This window comes from Homo sapiens, chromosome 3 (genome assembly GCF_000001405.40).
Source record: "Homo sapiens chromosome 3, GRCh38.p14 Primary Assembly".
Classification (NCBI taxonomy): domain Eukaryota; kingdom Metazoa; phylum Chordata; class Mammalia; order Primates; family Hominidae; genus Homo; species Homo sapiens.
In genome coordinates, this window is record NC_000003.12 from 129,030,140 (window position 1) to 129,044,062 (window position 13,923).

Sequence of the window (13,923 nt, forward strand, 5' to 3'; positions counted from 1 at the left end):
ATGCCACAGCACTCCAGCCTGGGTGACATAGAGACCCTATCTCTTAAAAACAAACAAACAAACAAAAAGTAGCTGAAACAATGAAAACTTTTTTTAAAATTCCCCTATAATAAGAAGTACAGAGATGGGTGGCCCTAGGGCTGATGAACTCAACAGCTAAAAGACATTAAGGCTTTTGTTCAGCTATTCAGTAATTCTCTCAGACATTTTTTCATGTCACAAGATGGCTGCTGCAGCTCCAAACATCACATTCTCACATGACAATGTCTAAAGGCAGGAAGGAAGGGGCATTTCTTTTCCTAGAGGTTTTTTTTTATAAGGATGAAAATCCGTTGCAGAAGATTTTGCCTTGAGTCCCATTGGCTAAAACTGGGTTCCATGCCTGTGCCCTAGCTGCAAGGGATGCTGGGAATCTGAGTATCTAGCACTTCCTCCTGGACTGTGGGAAGCTGACTCTGCCAGGGTGACAATGGGTGTTCATAGACAGCTTGCCCATGTACAGTGGGGAATGGAAGAGTCCTGTACTCTCCTCCTCAATGCCTGTGTCTCTCCCACGGCTGCAGGTCAGAGGATTCCCAGCTCCCAACCCCGCAGCTAGCCAACCCAGAGCCAGGAGACAAGAGTAATGAACCTGAAGATGCTGGGACCAGAGACCCAGACCCCACTCCAGAGGGAGCCTGGCAGTCAGACAGCAGCTCTGGAAGCAGAGCCCTGGATGAAGGTTTGTCCCCTGTGCGCCCAGTCTTCCTGCCAGGCTCACAGTCCCTCCGGCTGTGCTCAGCCCTGCTCTCAAGGGCCTGTCTGCATCCATGCTACCACCAGCCTCCAAACAGAGCCCACTCCCACCAGGTGCTCAGGCTGGGCTGGGGCCCTTTTCCCCAGCCCCATCATCCTAAGAACCTGGGCCTAGAGAATCTGGGGTGTGTAGAGCCATCAGGAGGTCAGGATACACTGAGATGTTCCCAAACTTGCCAGGTGGCCAGGGTCACCTTTAAAAGCATGGATGCAGGCTGGATGTGGTAGCTCACGCCTGTGATCCCAGCACTTTGAGAGGCTGAGGCGGGTAGACTGCTTGAGCTCAGGGGTTCGAAACCAGCCTGGCAACATGGCAAAAGCTGGTCTCTACCAAAAATACAAACAAATTAGCCCAGTGTGGTGGCACATGCCTATAGTCCCAGCTACTCGGAGGGGGAGTGGGGGCTGAGGCAGAAGGATCACTTGAGCCTGGGAGGTAGAGGCTGCAGTGAGCCAAGATTGTGCCAGTGCACTCCAGCCTAGGTGACAGAGTGGGGCCCTGCCCCCCTAAAGAAAAAAGAAAAACATGGATGCCCAGGCCCACCCCGGATCTCTGCATGTGATTCTCTGGGGTGGTGGGGGTGGGGTCATAAGCCTGGTTTTGTTTTTAAACAGCTGTATCAGTTAGGACATCGTTTGTCTCCCAGTGTCAGATCATTCAGCCCAAACCGGCTTAAGTTAAAAGAGAATGTATTGGTTCACATAACTTAAAAAGTCCACACAAGCTTCAGGCACAGCTGAAGTGTCAGCAGCGCAGCTGTCTGGACCCCTGGCCCTGCGTTGCTCTACAGTGATTCACTTCACAGCAGGCACTCCCCTCATAGTGGCAAGATGGTCACCAGTGGCTCCAGGCCTGGTCCTCTCAACTCCCAAGCCAGAAGCATGGAGGGCATTTCTCTTCCCTGCAAGTTTTGAGTCCAAGTCTTGGGTTAACTCCAGTGGCTCCCACTGGGTCCCTTGCCCTTCCTGAACTAGTTGCAGAGGAGGCTGCACTCAGCCTGGCCGGGCCTGACTCAAGTGCCCCTGGAGCTGGGTGGAGAGGAAGAGGAGGGAGTGGGACTCCCCTGGGGACGGGGATGGGGACTGAGGTTGGGCAGCAGAACACCAGGGGGCCACACAGACCCCCAGGCTTCCTGATGCTGACACAGGTGGGAGCCCACCGTCAAGGCCAAGCAATACTGTGGACCGCAGACAGTCACATGTGTCACACCCCCTTCCTCCACACTACTCCAAACATTAGACGCCTGTAGTTCCCTGAGCATTGAAAATCTGTCCATCCTGGTGCCTGTACCGTGAGGAGCCCACCCCAGCTCCTAAGAGACTGGCTTGGCCTTTCCTGACTGGGGTTGGTATGGCCTAAAATGGAAATAACACTTACCTCTGAGACCACAAACAGGGCCTGGCTTGTGTCATCTTAGAAAACAGGGAAGAAGCCAGGCACGGTGGTTCATGCCTGTAATCCCAACACTTTGGGAGGCTGAGACAGGAGGATCACTTGAGCCCAGGAGTTTGAGGCTGCAGTGAGCTATCATCACACCACTGCACTCCAGCTTGGGTGACAGAGCGAGACCCTGTCTCTAAAAAAAAAAAGAAAAAGAAAAGAAAGAGAAGAAAAAGAGAGCATTTCTCCCCATGTCCCTGTGTAAAGTCCCAGGAAGGGGCTCTGACTGGCCAGCTTCACTCCTGGGCTGGTCACATTACAAGGAGACAGAACCAGCCTTGGTGGCCTCACTGCACAGGAGCCTGGGATGTGGGGGTGGCTGTCTCAAGAGGGGACATGGCACAAGAGCCCTCCCCTGGGGCTGCGCTGCACATGTCCCCCTGGGGAGGGATGCCTGGTTCCCCACCCTTTGTCCTGCATCCCCACATCCTGTGCTTCCCCAGCAGTGGACGAGCAGCTGTTCCGCTCCGTGGAGGGCCAGGCCGCCTCTGACGAGGAGGAGGTGGAGGAGGAGAGGTGGCAGGAGGAGAAGAAGACGCCGGCAGCCGAGGCCAAGACACTGCTGGCCCGGCTCTCCAGCTGCAGAGGCAGGTGTGTGGCCCGTCCAGCGTCAGCCACTGTGGGCCGCAGGCTCCAGAGGTGTCTGGGGAAGCCAGGAGCACCTGGGAGGCTGGTTAGCCTGGCTCAGCCACCTCCCAGCCCCTCTGCGACTCTGTCCCCTTGTCCCTCAGGGGGAGGTGGGAAGGCCCACCAGCATGTAGAGGATGAAGTGGGATGACCTTCCAGGGCACATCTCGTGGCTGGCTTTAATTCCCATTCGTGCTTTCTCACCAGCACCTGCACTGGAGCTCTTGTAGCACTCCCAGACACCAGTGTTCCTCTCAGACCCTTTCCCAACCCATCACCCCTCGCCACACACCATTTCCACAGCTCTCCAGCCTGGCCCCGGGCAGGTGCTGGCTCCCTGTTTCATCCTCACCTCCACCCCCATGGGGACCGAGGACAGGCCCAGGACACCTGGGACACCTCAGACAAGTCACCTGGCTTCTCCGAACCTCAGTCTTCTTGTCTCTAAGATGGGATGGTGACACTTGTGTGGCAGAGGCTGTGTGAGGATTTGAGGTCAAAGATATACAATGCCTAACAGGTGCCTGGTGCACAGTAGGTGGGAACGCCGGTGGGGGCAACAGTTATTAATGTATGGTAAAATGCTGTTGATTTTCTGGGGTTGTTTTTACCACCAATTCTTCATGTCAACAAGCACTTATAAAGCACCTACTACATGCCAGGCAAAATCTGAGGCACAGGGAAAATCGCAGTAAACCAGACAGTGGCCTCTTCTTCTGGATCCTCTAGTGAGTGTGACAGGCCTGAGGAAGAGGGGTCACACAGGGACAGGGACAGAGGCGGGGCAGGGAGATGCAGGGAAGGAAATGAGGGAATAAGCAATGCAGATGCTGGGGGAAGAGCATTCCAGGAAGAGGGAAGAGCAAGTGCAGAGGCCCTGAGGCATGTTGGCGGGACCGCCAGGAGGCCACTGTGGCTGGAGCAGTGTGAGTGCAGGTGGGTGGGAGGGAAGGTCAGAGAGCTCATGGGGCAGATCAGGTGAAGCCTTTGCCTTTTCCTCAGAGTGAGATGGGGGCCATGGGAGGGTACTGGGCAGGCAGGTGCCGTGGCCTGGCTTTGCTTTAGGAGGCCAACTCCACACCACCACCACCTCTCCAAGGCTGGACAGAGCGGGCTCTGGGAAGCAGCCCCCTGCAATGCGGGCCCTCTCCTTTGCTGCAGGTGTGATGACCAGACGGCGGAGAAGCTCATGACTTACTTTGGTCACTTCGGCGGTGCCAACCATGCCCATACCCTGGGGGAGCTGGAGGCCTGCATTGCCATGCTGGTGGAGCAGCTGAGGACTCAGGGCTGCGGTGGGAGGACCCTGGGGACCTCTGAGGAGGAGGTCAGCAGAGCCTAGAGATCAAAGGCTGGAGCAATTCTAGAGGATCTCACAGCTGGAAGGGTCTGAGGGATTGCAGCCAAGTCTTGTGCCTCATTCCCAGATGAGTAAACCAAGGCCCAGAGGGAGGTGATTTCCTCTGATTTAAATTTAATAAGAAATATTTTGGTTGCAAATTAAAGGATCCCACCTCAAATTAGCTTGATTGCAAAACAGATATTGGAACATGGAGCTGAGAAGAAGATGGTCTGGGCTTCAGGCACAGCTGGGTCCAGGGACTCAGACCAGATTGTCTCCATCTATCTGCTGTGTTTTTCTGTAGGAGGTGGCCTCACTTTCCCCTAGTTCAAAAGGGCTTACTCCATATGATGGGGGAAGGGAAGACAGGACCATGAACAGCCCTAGACTTCCATCAGCCCACCTGGGAAGCCCTCACAGGAAAATGAGTCTCATTCCTAGTACATGAAATCTCAGGGAGGAACTCCGATTGGCCACCTCAGTCATGTGCCCGTCCCTGGGCCAATCCCTGTGGTGGTGGGGCGGGTTCAGTGATTGGCACTGCCACCAAAGTCAGATGAAGTGGAGCAGGGGCAGTTTCCCAAAAGAAAGGAAGTGTGGTAGGAAGAAGAGGGAAAGGGGGGCCGAGCATCCAGCTGTCTCCATTTCAATACGACCACTTCGCATTTCTCATTCTCTCTACTCCATAGGAAAGTCTCTATTCCACAGTAGCCAAGTGTGCAATGCTGTTGAAAGTTGTCATTTCACTAAGCCCTAGCCCACTGTGCTTTTACAAACTGGTTTTGACATAGTTTTATATTTATACATCTGAAATTCTAAGTCTGTACTGCTTTTTACTTATATATGGCCTGATGAAGTCCTAGTTCCTTAAATAACTTTTTAAAAATGATACCAGCTGACTTGTACAACCCATGAACCACACGCTCGGTGCTGATGTGCTCTGTCTTATTTTATGTTCAAAGGGCCCAATGAGGTAGGAAACAGTTTGAGAGAGGTCAAATGGGCTGGGCTGGGAGCCCATGCCGCATCCACGCCAGTGTGCCCACCTTGAACCAAGGCAGCCACACCACTCCACCCTGAGGCCAGGGGTTGAGTCACTGGGGGCAGGAGGGAGCAGAGGGGCCTGTTTGGGCTCCAGCCTCTTAGTGCATGAAATCAGAGACCAAGACAGAAGGTAGCAGGCCCTGGAGCGCTGCAGTAGATTGGACAAAGACCAGGACTATGCAAACATTCTGCTGAAATGTGCAAAAGGAAACAAAGTTGAATGTCATTACAGGGCAAGCCAGTGTGGCTGCAGCTAAACCTTCCAGTGAGATCGGGTCTGCACCACCTCCAGCTTCTGGAACCCTTGCACCGGGATAGGGCCACCCCTCACTTACTCCCCAGAGAAGGCTGCTAACACCAAGTAGCATGGCATGGCGGTTATGTGCTGAAGCCAGACTGCCGGGATTCAAATCCTGACTCCATTTCCTGTGTGACCTTGGAAAAGTTACTCAACTTTTCTGTGCCTCGGTTTCCTCACCTGTGAAATGGGCATAATAATGGTACTATACACATGTATCAAACAGGTGAACACTTGTGGTGAGTGCTCAGCAAACATGCGCCACGGCTGTCCCTGTTTCTAGCACTCTTCTGTGTTGTGCAGGTCTCCTAAGTTGAAAGTTGTTTCTACATTTTCTCCACCACCGCTCTGGTTTCCTGGAGGCCTTGATCTTGCCTGCCCAGGCACCCCTCAGGAAAGTCATAGCCCTGTGGCTGGGGAGGGTGGAGTGTTGTGGGCCATCAGGAAATAAACTGGCAGTCACAAAGTTCTGAAGGGCATAGCCACCCCTTTTCTAAGAATATTTAAAGGAAACAGGGCTTGGAGGATCCTAAAATTAGCTGGCCTTCCAGTCACATCCCTAAAGAGCAGAGGCACTGGGCCTTCCCTCTTCCTGCCCAAGCCCAGGGTGGACCCTGAGTGCCCTCAGGCACCACACTTTCCACTGCTTCTCTTTCCCTCCATTGGTGCCAGGGGAAGGGAATGCCTCGTGCCTGGCATGCCTGCTTTAGAAGGCAGGGGCCACAAAACACTTTGTGACTGCCTGGCATCCTAGTGTTACTGGGTACAACTGACGGTTTAGGTGGCCCCCTGGCCAAGAGTGGGCCCAAGACTCCGACTGGGCCAACCACGCCCCTCTCCTGGGGCTCTCCATGCTGGGGGATGGGGATGGCTGGAGAGGGTCTTTCTCGGCTGTGGCTCTTGGATAAGAGGCTTGGGACACTCCCACTGTCTCAACCCTGTCCCATTCCTGAGGTTCTCCAGCTGCTAGTCCATTCTGGGATCTGCCCACTAGCCTGCCATAAATTTCCTCTCTGTGTAAGCTAGCCAGATTGGCTTCTGCAGCTTCCCACTAAACTTAATTTGTTTGAAAGAAACAAAACCAGAGAAGAGAAGGGAGAATGGAGTCCTTAGAGTGGGAAACAAAATATACAACTCTTACATCAGTCCAACCCGCTGTGTGGCTTTAGGCCACACACTCAGCTTCTCTGGGCCTCAGCACCAGCCTCGGGGAGATGGAGTAGTTGATCCTGCCACCTGGAAGGCTGGGAGAGGCCAGCAAAGTGAGCACTGAGCCCCTTCTCTTCCCAGGCAGAGTTGCAGCAGAAGGTGGAAGAGAATGAGCACCTGAGGCTGGAGCTGCAGATGGTAGAGACCGAGAGGGTGCGGCTGTCCCTGCTGGAGGAGAAGCTGGTGGACGTGCTGCAGCTCCTGCAGAGGCTCCGGGACCTGGTAGGCTCACGGGAGAGCTGCCACACTCAGGGAAGGGAAAGGAGCTCTTGGGAGGGAGCCCCACTTGTGTCAGGCACCAGGCTCTAGGCTCTCCTTACAGTAGGCAGCTGTTATCCCATTTTACAGATGCAGAAATGGAGGCTCAGAAGAACCAACCAAAAATAGGGTTGGGGGGCTCCCCAGGTCATTTTAAGAAGCTAATAAAACTCTTGTATGTATCCTTTTCTGGTTCTGTTCTCAAAACCAGAAAAGGATAAATGGAAGAAAGACAAGAAAGGAAAATTATAAACTAATGTGACATTTAAACATGGATGCAAAATTATTAAATACAATACTAGCAAACCAAATCTGGCAGTGTTTAAAGAAATGCAACATGACCAAGTTGGACTTATCCTACAAATTCAAGGATGATTCCACATCAAAAAATCTATTACCAAAATACACCACATTGCAGATTAAAGGAGAAAGACCAAATGATCATCTCAATTGATGCAGAAAAGGAAGTCAATAAAATTCAATCTCCTTTGATTATAAAACCCCTCAGCAAATTAAGAATAGTAGGGATCTTCCTTCACCAGATAAGGGCTCTCAACCAAATACTTCATGCAGATCTCACACTGACTGGTGACGTGTTCAGAGGAATCCCCCTAAAATCAGATGTGGCTGGGCCTGGTGGTGCATGCCTGTAATCCCAGCACTTTGGGAGGCCTAGGTGGGTGGATCGCTTGAGCTCAGGAGTTCGAGACCAGCCTGGCCAATATGGTGAAACCCCCACCTCTACAAAAAAAAAAAAAAAATTAGCTGGGCATGGTGGTGTATGCCTGTGGTCCCAGCTACTTGGGAGGCTGAGGTGGGAGGATTGCCAAAGTCCAGGAGGCAAAAGTTGCAGTGAGCTGAGATTGTGCCACTGCACTCCAGCCTGGGTGACAGAGTAAGACCTTATCTCAAAAAAAAAAAAAATTAAAATTAAAATCAGACTCAAGACAAGAATGCCTGTCATCACTGTTTTCATGTGAAGCAGAGGTTCCATCCAGTGCAGCAAAAGGAAAGAGAAAGGCTATAAGGACTAGAAAGAAAGCAAGACCCAGGTCTGTGGGGCTCTGAAGTGGGCTGTGCCCTGTGCATTGGGCTGCCTGGGACCCAGAGCTGCCGAGGTCCAGCCCAATGTCCACGTCCTAGGCAAGCAGAGACCTGGGGATGGGCCCCAAGAGGCCAATCCTAGCCCAGGCAGGCAAGGGCAGTGGTTCCCAGCAGAGGCCATAGGCCATGCAGCCTCACGGTAGATGATGCAGCCCCTCCACCTCCCAGCTGGGTGGCTTTGGCAAATTTCGCATTCTTTCCCAGCATTGCTTTTTTCTGCTGGTTAAAATGGGCATAATAAAATAAGTTGTTGCAAAAATCAAATGAGCAAATGCATTAAAATGCTCTTAGGGTTATTTCTCAGTGTCTACCTGGGCACAGATGGTAATCCTTAGGTACGTGATCTTTGATGGCATGGATCCTGCCCACTGCCCCACTCGCCCTCCAAGAGTCTCTGGGAAGTGCAGTGTGGCCAGCCTAGGGGTAGGGGGCCAAGAAGCGATGAGGGTGGGGGAGGAGCTTTATCTGTCCCCAGGGAGCTGCCTAGAAGCCCGTAGGGGCCACCAGTTCCCATCGGCTGAACAGGGACACAGCAACCAGTCTAATCCAGCCTTGTTTCCATTTCTTTTTAAGAACATATCGAAAAGAGCCCTGGGGAAGATTTTGCTGAGCACGCTGGACGCTTTCAGGGACCCCACCCACGGTAGGAGAGCACCCTAGTCTCTCAGAGCCCACGCAGTGGCTGGAGGGTGTCCTGAGGAGGAGACTCCAGTGTGCTTCATGCTTAGCATCTTGTCTGCAAAACAATCATGTTATTCCTGCCCTGCATGCTTTAGAAAGCTGAAGGGGCTTTTAGCAAGAGCAGAGGCACAGAAGCCCCAGGCAGAAGTGCCAGACAGAAGCCCAGTGAGGGGATGGGTGGGCGCCACCGGCAGCACTGCAGCCACATGCGGGGGAGGTGCCCCAAGGGTTTTTAAACCCCTGAATCCTTACAATGGCCCTAGAAGGAATGAGTTGTTATCCCCTTTCCACAGAGGAAGAGACTGAGGCACAGGGGTCAAGTGCTGGCCACGCCCGAGGCTGGGGCATCTCCCTTAAGCACTCAATAACATGGACCCGGTGTTTAGACGAAGCTCAGGGAGCAGAACAGCAGGAATGCCAGCTTATGCCTGGGGCAGCCAGGCCGAGCTCCTGCCTCACGGGTCTTCACAGGCTGACAAGGCAACCAAGAGCCCTTTGCTCGCTGTCCTCCCCAGGCACCACTGGGCAGAGCTCAGATGCACCCACTGCCCTGAGCAGTCCCTGCCCTCATGGAGGAGATCAGAAATTGTGTGCTCCAAGTCCCCTCTCCAGGGTCCTCAGGGGGAGGTGGTCCACAGAGCGAGGAAGCTGGGCAGGGCTGGGGAGGGGCACAGCGGGTAAGAGTGGCTGGGTCTCAGGAAGGAGGGACAGTGGCTCTGTGGGTGAAGGTGAGCAGACTGATCCTGCCCTCCCTGCCTGCTGTTTCCCTCCAGAGGGAAGGCCCAGCCCTGCAGCCATCCTGGATGCCCTGCACCAAGCCTTGGCTGCCTGCCAGCTGTTGCGGAGACAGCCCTCGGCACCAGCCTCTGCAGCAGCTGCGCTCACCAACCCCCTCCTCGTCTCCTGCTGAGGTTACTGGCCCACCCTGTGGGCACCCTGCTCAGCCTGACTGCCTTTGGACCAGCCTCCATGATCAGCCCAACCACTGACAGCTGGTCTGACCACCGTCACATCATCAGAACTTGAGTCTCTGCTGGCTCCTTCCAAGGTTAAGCCCGAGCCCAGAGCCTCCCATTGCAGCACCTGGCAGCCACCCCTTCCTCGGGCTCCTCCACATTACCTCGCAGCCCCTGCATTCCTGCCACCAGAGTCCACATTAAAGCCCTGCAGTTGCTGGATCAGCCTGCACCTGATGCTGTATCTTTCCCCTGCCCTCAGGGCAGAGATGCCCACTTTCTGACTGAGTCTGACCCCAAATCTCTTCCCCAGAGTTTCAGGATCTCCTCCCCTCCCAGCACTGTCTCCTTCCTCCCACTGGCATGCCTGCTGCAACGGAGACTGGGCCCAACCTTTGGGATACCTGGTCTGTAGGAAAGCACTCCACACCCCAGGAAATGTTGATGACTAGGAAAGGCTGAGGGAATTCCAAGGAAGGAACAATCACTGTAGGCTCCCTGGTAGAAGCTGGCCTTGAACCAGCTCTAGAGGACAGGTAGGATTTAGACAGGTAAAGAAAGGAGGGAAGGGCATAGAATCTAAGGTAATGGCAAGAGCAAAGGTGTGGAACCAGAGGGGGGCCCCAGGAATGCAGTGCTTGGAGCCCCTGCTCCTGAACACGCATTAACTCCTGAACTGCGAGCCCCTCCTCCTGAACTGCGTCATGGGGTTGCAGGAAGGAGTAGGCCAAGATACCCAGTCTCACCTAACTTAGACTGTCATTAGAGAGAAAGATCCATTGCCAAACAGTGCCATGGGGGTGAAACCAGTGCTAAATGGAGGTAAAATAAAGTTTGTAAGAGCCCAACCACCAGGGGTCTTTCCGAGCCTCGGGATGCCTGGGGAAACTGCAGGAGTCAGGGGAATCCAGTCTGCTCTGAACCTTGGTGGGGAGGGGCAGGGGCAGAGGAGGAGGTGGAGGGAGGGCCGCAAAGATTATGGGTTTCACGGAACCACTGCAAACGCCTCAGCAGGGAAACACAGGCCCAGCAACTTTCAGATGGTTCCTCTGGAAATGGAATAAAAGAGACCAAGGCCAGTGGCCACCACAGAAAGGCCATGCCCACCCCTGGTCCAGCCAGATGGGACCGGCCCCAGGACCCCTGGGGCCATGTGCAGAGCTGGCCCCGGGGAGGTGGTCTGAGCAGGCAGGGATGCGCCCAGCTTGCTCCTCGCATCTCCGCGGAGTCCACCAGCCCTGCACCTCAGGCTCTGTGCTGCCTACGGGACCCAGGCCAAGCAGGCTCCCATGTGTCCCAGCTCGGTCACAGGGCCAGCTGTTCTGTGTCCTGATCATGGTGGTGGCTACATGAACCTACACATGGGTTAAAACTCACTGTGGACGTATATGAGAGTTCAAAGCTCTCATATGGGTTCCTTTGTCATTTTTTGGTAGTTCTATCAGTTTTTGCCTCACATATTTGCCACACTCTTATTAGGTGTATACACATTAGGGATTATTACGTCTTTTTGGAGAATTGACTTGTTTATGATTAGTCTGCTCTGTCGGAAATTATTACAGCTACTTCAGCTTTCTTTTTTGTTCTTTTTGTGTGTATGTGTGAGACAAAGTCTCACTCTGTTGCCCAGCTTGGAGTGCAATGGCGCCATCTTGGCTCACTGCAACCTCTGCCTCCCGGGTTCAAGCGATCCTCCCACCTCAGCCCCCCAAGTAGCTGGGACTACAGGCGCACAACACCATGCCTGCTTAATTTTTGCATTTTTAGTAGAGACAGAGTTTCGCCATGTTATCTCACAGGGCACCTCATCACAGGGGTACTCTCACACTTTTGCGAGTTTTACCTCCAGGAGTTTTACTATGTTCTCATGGTGAAAATAGAAGAAAAAGTCCCCTCGTGCTTCTGGCAGGAACAGGGGAAAGTAACCATTTAAAAATATGCCAGGACATTCTGTGCTTTTTAACAAAGCCTACCATCAAAAGAAACTATTTTATCAGGGCCTAACCCACTAGGGTTTTATTAGAGCCTAATCAAACTGGGGGAAGAGAAATACCCAACTCCATTCCCTTCAGCCATCCTGTCCCACCTAAGAGAAAGAAAACCTTAGAAGTTCACAGCCCAGGGCCCAGGCTCACTAGAAGACTGAGATCTAATCATAGGACTATAGAACACATCCCTTCCCACCACACCTTCCCACCACATCACTAAAGGCCTCTTTACCTATGGGTAAAAGGTAAAAGTTCCTTTTACCCGGTGCAGCATGCCTGCCTTTTAGCAAAAAATGCAAGGCAGACTAAAAGGCAAAAAGCACAGTTTGAAGAACAGAGCAAGCATCAGAATCAGACCCAGCTATATGGCAGGGATGTTGGAATCATCAGGCTATGAATTTAAAACAACTGTGATTCATATGCAAGTGCTCTCTTGGAAAAAAGTCGACAAATGTAAGAACAGATGGGTAATGTAATCAGAGAGGTGGAAATTCTAAGAAAGAATCAAAAAGAAATGCTAGAGCTGAAAAACACGGTAACAGAAATGAAGAATGCCTTTGATGGGCTCATTAGCAACTAGGACACAGCTGAGGAAGGAATCTCTGCGCTTGAGAATATGTCACTAGAAACTTCCAAAACTGAGAAGCAAAGAGGAAAAAAGACCGAGGAGTGTGGGGGAAAGAGCAGAATATCCAAGAACTGCGGGACATCTACAAAACCTATAACATGCACAGTGAGAGTACCAGAAAGAGAAGAAAAAGACAAAGGAACACAAACCATGTTTAAAGTAATAATGACTTAGAATTTCCCCGAATTAATGTCAGACACAGATCCAGGAAGCTCAGAGAACACAAGTAGGTTACATGCAAAAAAGAAAAGAAAAAAAAAAACTACACCTAGGCATCGTACATTCTAACTTCAGAAAATCAATGATAAAGAACACACCTTGAAAGAAGCCAGAGGGAAAAATAACACCTAACCTATAGAGGAACAAAGGTGAGACTTACATCAGCCTTCTTTTCAGAAGCCATGCAAACAAGAAGAGAGTGGAATGAAATAGTTAAAGTGTAGAGAGGAAAAAAAAATACACCGAGAATTGTGTATCCTGTGAAATTATATTTCGAAAGTGAAGAAGGAATAAAGACTTTCATCAGACAAACAGAAATTTAGGGAATTTGTTGCCAGTACACCTGGCTTGCAAGAAATGTTAAAAGAAGTCCTTTGGAGAGAAGGAAAATTACACAGGTCCAAAATCTGGATCTATATAAAGAAAGGAAGAGCTTTAGAGAAGGAATAAATAAAGGTAAAATAAAAACTTTAACTTTTCTTATTATTTGATCTAAAAGACAACAGTTTGTTAAAAATATTAATAGCAACAGTGTAGGCAATTATTATAGTTGACATACAAGTGAAAGGGATGACAGCAATGATACAAGGGATAGGAGAGAAGAACTAGGAATATTTTGTCATTATAAGGTATTTGTACTACCCATAAGCAATACAGTATTATTCGAAAGTGGGCTGGCCAGGCATGGTGGCTCACGCCTGTACTGCCAGCACTTTGGGAGGCTAAGACGGGCAGATCACTTGAGGCCAGGAGTTTGAGACCAGCCTGGACAACATGGCGAAACCCTGTCTCTACTAAAAATGCAAAAATTAAGCAAGCATGGTGTTGTGCGCCTGTAGTCCCAGCTACTTGGGGGGCTGAGGTGGGAGGATTGCTTGAACCTGGGAGGCAGAGTTTGCAGTGAGCTGAGATGGCATCGCTGCACTCCAAGCTGGGTGACAGAGGGAGACTTTGTCTTAAAAAAAAAAAAAAAAAGGAAAGCTGAAGTAGCTGTAATAATTTCAGACAGAGCAGACTAATGATAAACAAGTCAATTCTCCAAAAAGACATAATAATCCCTAATGGGTATACACCTAATAAGAGTGTGGCAAATATGTGAGGCAAAAACTGATAGAACTACCAAAAAAATGAATTCACTATTTTTGTTGGAAACTTCAACAACCTCTATCAGAAAGGGACAGATCCAGATCCGGCAGGCAGAAAATCAGTAAGGACATAGTTGAACTTAAGAGCACCATATGTCAACTGGATCTAAATGACGTGGATAGAATACCCAAGAACAGCAGAATACACATTCTCCTGAAGCTCACACAGAGCCTTCACCAAGATAAAC

General features: G+C 51.4%; 1 protein-coding gene across 4 annotated transcripts in view, besides 3 other annotated features; it reads left to right on the forward strand.

Annotated features, from left to right (window-relative positions):
* Positions 1–10,603, forward strand: part of EFCC1 (EF-hand and coiled-coil domain containing 1) — a 39,439-nt gene extending 28,836 nt beyond the window's left edge. For 3 of the 4 annotated variants that reach the window (NM_001377500.1, XM_011513161.3, XM_011513164.3), the window contains 6 exons: positions 564–721; positions 2,680–2,827; positions 4,025–4,190; positions 6,838–6,978; positions 8,692–8,761; positions 9,573–10,603. In NM_001377500.1, coding sequence (NP_001364429.1) covers positions 564–721; positions 2,680–2,827; positions 4,025–4,190; positions 6,838–6,978; positions 8,692–8,761; positions 9,573–9,709 — 820 coding nt within the window. In that variant the 3' untranslated portion in view covers positions 9,710–10,603. The remainder of the gene's footprint in view (positions 1–563; positions 722–2,679; positions 2,828–4,024; positions 4,191–6,837; positions 6,979–8,691; positions 8,762–9,572) is intronic. The other variant, NM_024768.3, reaches the window with a different exon arrangement.
* Positions 3,393–3,947: an enhancer, noted in NCBI's record as "H3K4me1 hESC enhancer chr3:128752375-128752929 (GRCh37/hg19 assembly coordinates)". NCBI's record gives its function as "activates a minimal SCP1, AML or CMV promoter by ChIP-STARR-seq in naive H9 embryonic stem cells {active_cell/tissue: H9 hESC(naive)}" and the evidence as "EXISTENCE:reporter gene assay evidence [ECO:0000049][PMID:30033119]".
* Positions 8,005–8,980: an enhancer, noted in NCBI's record as "H3K4me1 hESC enhancer chr3:128756987-128757962 (GRCh37/hg19 assembly coordinates)". NCBI's record gives its function as "activates a minimal SCP1, AML or CMV promoter by ChIP-STARR-seq in primed H9 embryonic stem cells {active_cell/tissue: H9 hESC(primed)}" and the evidence as "EXISTENCE:reporter gene assay evidence [ECO:0000049][PMID:30033119]".
* Positions 8,981–9,954: an enhancer, noted in NCBI's record as "H3K4me1 hESC enhancer chr3:128757963-128758936 (GRCh37/hg19 assembly coordinates)". NCBI's record gives its function as "activates a minimal SCP1, AML or CMV promoter by ChIP-STARR-seq in primed H9 embryonic stem cells {active_cell/tissue: H9 hESC(primed)}" and the evidence as "EXISTENCE:reporter gene assay evidence [ECO:0000049][PMID:30033119]".
* Positions 10,604–13,923: the final 3,320 nt, after the last annotated feature.